This window comes from Homo sapiens, chromosome 11, assembly GCF_000001405.40.
Source record: "Homo sapiens chromosome 11, GRCh38.p14 Primary Assembly".
In the NCBI taxonomy this organism is placed as follows: Eukaryota; Metazoa; Chordata; class Mammalia; order Primates; family Hominidae; genus Homo; species Homo sapiens.
In genome coordinates, this window is record NC_000011.10 from 134,613,887 (window position 1) to 134,619,629 (window position 5,743).

General features: G+C 51.0%; 1 annotated feature.

The window, feature by feature from the left end:
* Positions 893 to 1,394: an enhancer, noted in NCBI's record as "H3K4me1 hESC enhancer chr11:134484673-134485174 (GRCh37/hg19 assembly coordinates)". NCBI's record gives its function as "activates a minimal SCP1, AML or CMV promoter by ChIP-STARR-seq in primed H9 embryonic stem cells {active_cell/tissue: H9 hESC(primed)}" and the evidence as "EXISTENCE:reporter gene assay evidence [ECO:0000049][PMID:30033119]".

Below are 5,743 nucleotides of genomic sequence, written 5' to 3' on the forward strand. Positions count from 1 at the left end.
GTCCCCGCATGGCTTTGTGGGTAATCCCTTGGGACCACTTGGCAGAGTCTGAGAAAGCCAAACTTGGTTTATAGATGCTTGGGCAGGTGCAAGACAGAAAGGATGAAGGACCACTCAGGGTGTCGTTGAAGACAGTGGTGACTAGAAAGCCTCCCCCAGGGAAGAGCTCTAAGTGATGCGTCTAGCCATCTGCCTTGTGGTAAGGAGGGAGGCCGAGACTGCTGTGGTCTCGTGATGGTCAGTGGCGGGAGGCTTGACTGGTTGCTCAGAGCCCAGGAAGAGGAAAAACAGTAGGGTTAGAACAAGGAGGCCTAGGAAGCATCACGTGGATGGACCTATGGCAGACGCATGGAATTAACCTACCAACATCCACCAAGGAGCAGCCACCACAGGAGAGGTGCAAGACAAGCAAGAAGACAGAGTGACCTCTCCAGCTGAAGTCAACCAGCCTCCTTCATCAGCCATACCAGGGCTAGGACAATGAGCACCTGAGTAGAGTAGCAGGGATGGCAGGGATGGAGGCTATGCAGGCAGCCAGATCACGGGCTCCACTCGCCCAAGCATATATAGCTACCACCACTGCCATATATCCAGCCTGGTAGCAACAGAAACCAACAGAGTCCCTGATACTGCATTGCTTGAAGAGGCCAGCCAGCTGCTCAGTGGCAAGGTGGATTACATGGTACCCCTTCTGACATAGAAAAGGACAGAAGTTCATCTGGAGTGAAACTGACAATTCTGAGCAAGTGCAATAAACAGAATGTTTCGGTCCCCCCAACATTCATGTTGGAAATCCTAACCCCCAAGGTGATGGTATTAAGTAGTGGGACTTTTGGGAGGTAATTAGTTTATGAGGGTGGAGCCCCTATAATTGGGATAAGTGTCCTTATAAAAGGGACCCCAGAGAGCTCCTTCATCTTCTTTCCACCATGTCAGGACCCAGTGAGAAGGAGCCATCTATAAACCAGGAAGTAGACCCTCACTAGACACCAAACCCACTAGCATCTTGATCTTAGACTTCCCAGCCTCCAGAACTGTGAACAATAAATGTCTGATCAAATCAATAAAATAGCAAAAAGCTACCTCCAGGAGCCTGAGAGGGACACTCTGTCCATTTGCAGGGCATGGCAGGCTCCGTCTTAGGCTCTCAGCCCTGTGCATTCCCGTTTCCATCTTCTGGGTTTGCAGGGGTTTGTGAGCTGCTTTCTCCCGTTGGAGTCTCAATCGAGGTGTGGCTTTTTTCTTCCACAGGGTTGTGTGTGTGGTGAGGTGGGGCCCCTCAGCTCTCAGGGCAGGGTGCTGTCCTTGCCTCCTCTCCCTTATTCTCTCCCTCCAGCTGGCTCACCGCCGTGGGCTCAGTGCTCACTGTGTGCATGGCACAGAGAGGGCTATGGGTGAGTCTGTGTGGGGAGCTGCTTGCTGTGTGGAAGATGCATACTTCTGGCTAGATGGGAGCAGAGCCCCTCACTGCAGCATAAGGCTGATGGTCTGCTTGCTCAAGGTGGCACCTCCTGGGTGGCTGCCTCACCACAGCCTTGCTCAGAGGGGAGGGTTTTCCTCTACCACACAACAGGGCTGCATGTGTCTCAGCCCAGCACCCTCTGGGCTCTGAGGGCCCCTTGCCTCCTGGTTTTCTGTCTTGAGTAGGCATATGTCCAGCCCAGTGAGATGGCATCTACCACAGAGGGATGCTGTGCACCTTTGTGTTACACCCAGGCTCACACTTTGAGGTGCAATGTGTGTGTGTGTGTGTGTGAATGGGGGATCTGTGGAGGGAGAACTCTTGGATTGGGTCCCACGCATGACTGTGAGGCTGCCTCCTCCTTCCAGGGGTGACTGGGTTGTGTTTTCTGAGGAAGCCAGCCTCAAGACCTCCTCTTCCTCACGGCCCTTCCTCTCGCTTTGGTGCAGTGGAGGATTTCATTCTCTTCCTGCCACTGCTCCAGGGGTCCCAGGCTCAGCTCTTCTCTCAGAGCTTGTCTCTCCCTCTGCTCGTTGGTGGGGTTGGCCCTGAGTGGAGTGGAGATGGTGTCTTCTCAGGCTTCATGCTCTCATGTTTGAAACTTTGGAGCCTGTAGAGAAACATCTTGTGTAATCTTGGGAAAGGGCTGAGGGAGAGGGATCTCAAACTTCCCAGTCTCCTCAACCAGCTTGCTCATTACTCCTGGGGCTTTCTGGAGACACTCCCTTTATGTTGCCCAACCAGGGGAGCCACACGATGGTGAACCTCTTAGGCTCGATAGGAAAACAGGCAGCTCTGTGATCACTGCTGAGGGGTGGGTGGTGGTTGTGTGTGTGTAGGGGGGTGATATACTTTGGATGTTCATCCCTTCCAAATCTCACGTTGAAATGTGATTCCCAATGTTGGAGGCGGGAACTGGTGGGAGGTGTTTGGGTCAAGCCCTCGTCAATGGCTTGGTGCTGCCCTTGAGTAATGAGTGAGTTCTCGCTCTATTAATTCTCATAAGATCTGATGGTTAAAAACGGCCTGGAGCCTCCTTCCACTCTCTCTCCCCTCCTCCTCTCTCTCCGTGTGATGCCTGCTGCCATTTGCCCTCCACCATGAATGGAAGCTCCCCGAGGCTTTTCCAGAAGCAGATGCTGGTGCCAAGCTTCCTGTGTAGCATGTAGAACCCTGAGCTAAATGGACCTCTTTCCTTTATGAATTACCCAGCCCCAGGTGTTCCCTTGTAGCAAACTAAGTAACTAACACAGAAGAATTGTTACTGAGAAGTGGGGTATAAGGATATCTGAAAATGTGAAATTGACTTTGGAACTGGGTAAAAGGCAGAGGTTGGAAGAGTTTGGAGGACTCAGAAGAAGACAGGAAGATAAGGAGAAGTTTGGAGTTTCTTAGAAAATTCCACTTGAACCCACTTCTGGTTAAGTGGATGACCAAAATGCTGATAGAAATATGGACAGTGACAACCAGAACGACAAGGTCTCAGATGGAAATTAGGAATTTGGGGGGAACTAGAGCAGAGGTCACCCTTGTTATGTTGTAGTGAAGAACTCTGCTATGTCATGTGCATACCCTAGGACTCTGTGGAAGCCTGAATGTGAGAGTGATGACCTATAACACCTGGTAGAAACATTTTCTGAGCAGCAAAGCATTCAAGAAGTGATGTGGCTGCTTCTAACAGCTTATAAAATAACATGGGAGCAAAGGGATGACCTAAAGTTGGAACTTATAATTAAAGAGAAGCTGAGCATACAAATTTTAAAAATTTGCAGCCTGGCCACGTGGTGGAGAAAGAAAGAGCATTTTCAGATGAGGAATCTAAAGGTGCAATGAGCAAACACTTGCTAGAGAGATGAGCCCTGCTAAAAGGGAACCAGGTGCTAACAGGCAAGACAATGGGAAAAGGCCCTGAAGGCAGTTCAGAAATCTTTGAGGCCACCCCTCTCATCACAGGCCCAGTTGCCTAGAAGGACGCATGGTTTAGCGGGCAGGCCTGGGGCTCTGCTGCCCTGTGTCACCTCAGGATGCTGTTCCCACGTCCCAGCTGCATCACAGGCCCAGTTGCCTAGGAGGACACGTCGTTTAGCGGCCAGGCCTGGGCACTGCTGCCCGGTGTCACCTCAGGATGCTATTCCCACGTCCCAGCTGCTCCAGCTTCAGCTGCTGCTCAAACTGCTCCAGGTATGGCTCAGACCTCTGCTTCTGAGGGTGCAAGCTGTAAGCCTTGGCGACTTCCATGGGGTGTTAGGTTTGCAGGTGTATGGAATGCGTGAGTGAAGGAGGCTTGGCCGCTTCCACCCAGATTTTGGAGGATGTATGGGAAAGCCTGGGTGCCCAGGCAGAAGCCTGCTGAAGGGGCAAGGCTCCACATAGAGCCTCTACTAGGGCTGTGCAGAGAGGAAATATGGGGTTGGAGGCCCCACAGGGAGTCTCCGCTGGGACACTGCCTAGTGGAGCTGTGGAAGAAGGGCCATAGCCCTCCGGACCCCAGGATTGTAGAGCCATCAGCAGCATGCAACTTCTGCATTGGACTCCAACCAATGAGAGCAGCCATGGGGGCTGCACCCAGCAAAGCTGTGAGAGTGGGGCTACCCAAGACCTTGGGAGCCCACTCCTCATGCCAGTGTGCCCAGGATGTGGACATGGAATCAAAGATTATCTTGGAGCTTTTAGGTTTAATGTCTGCCCTGCTGGGTTTCAGGCTTGCATGGGGCTTGTTGCCCCTTTCTTTTGACTGATTTCTCCCTTTTGGAATGGGAATGTTTATACATTGCCTGTACCACCATTGTGTCTTGGAAGTAAATAACTTGGTTTGATCTTACAGGCTGATAACTGCAAGGAACTTCCTTTGAGTCCCACGTGAGACATGAAACTTTGAACTTTTGAGTTGGTGCTAGAAAACGTTAAGACACAAAATAAATTTCTTTTCTCTGTGAAGCTACCCAGTCTCAGATATTCCTTTATCGCAACACAAATGGTCTAAGATGGGGGTCCTCTGGGGCAGGCGGGTTCTGGAAGGCTCTCTCTGACATGGGTTTGGGCAGGTGTCTACTGGACAAGCATGGTCCAGCATGGGCTCTGAGTGCCAGCAGAAAGTAGTCTCCACAGTATTTTTTTTTTTTTTTGAGACAGAGTCTCACTCTGTCACCCAGGCTGGAGTGCAGTGGCGTGATCTCGGTTCACTGCAAGCTCCGCCTCCCAGGTTCACACCATTCTCCTGCCTCAGCCTCCCGAGTAGCTGGGACTACAGGCGCCCGCCACCACGCCTGGCTAATTTTTTGTATTTTTAGTAGAGACAAGGTTTCACCGTGTTAGTCTGGATGGTCTCGGTCTCCTGACCTCGTGATCCACCTGCCTCGGCCTCCCAAAGTGTTGGGATTACAGGCGTGAGCCACCGCGCCTGGCCTCCACAGTATTTATGAAATGATCTGTCCAAAGGAGCTGCAGCCCTGGGCACTCAGATACACTAAAAGGAGAGACACCCAAGTTCTCTCTTCTGAAAGGCTGCTGCCTGGTGGGAGGGAGGGGGACCATCGGGTTAATTGCAGGAAGCAGCAGGATTAGGGAGGCACTGGCCTTGCAGTTGATGGCTCAGGTTAAGCAGGTCGTTGCCTCTGCCTTCAGCAGGGCTGGGAAAAGTGGGTGCTGCTCTAATGGGTCACAATGTCTCGTCCACCCCATTCATTCAGCATATTTATATAGAGCACCTGCTTGGACCCAGGAATATGGAGATGAATAAGAAAGCAGGCCCCTTCATCTAGAGAGAGAAAAAGCCAAGAGAACACATTTCAGAAGGGAGAGCCACGGATGACAGAGGGTAAGCATAGTTGTCACTGGAAGACCTCAGCCTTCCTGTGCTTGTTTACCCACAGCTTCTCATGAACATTCTAATGTTTCCCCCTAGCTTTCCCCCTTTCCTGCAGAAGCAGCGTGGGACTGTCAATCACCTTCCTCGTAAAGCCATTCAGAGTTTGACTGAATTGTTAATACCTCAGCTCTGGCCTCCGCCCTTCAGGCCTGTCCTGGTCCTCCTGGGCTGGATGCATTTGCACATTTTTCATGCACTTCTTGGGGATGCTGGAGATCATGGCAGCTGGGAGAAGTAAGGTAAGAGAAGTGGGGATAAAATCCAAGGACAGAGTCAATGGGTCATTTTAAAAACCTTCTTTATTTAGTAATAATTTCAAAATTACAGAGAGTTGCAAGAATAGGAAAGAACCACATCTGTCGTTTTCTTAGATTCACCTATTTTTGAGATTCTTTTCCCCATTTGCTCTCTCT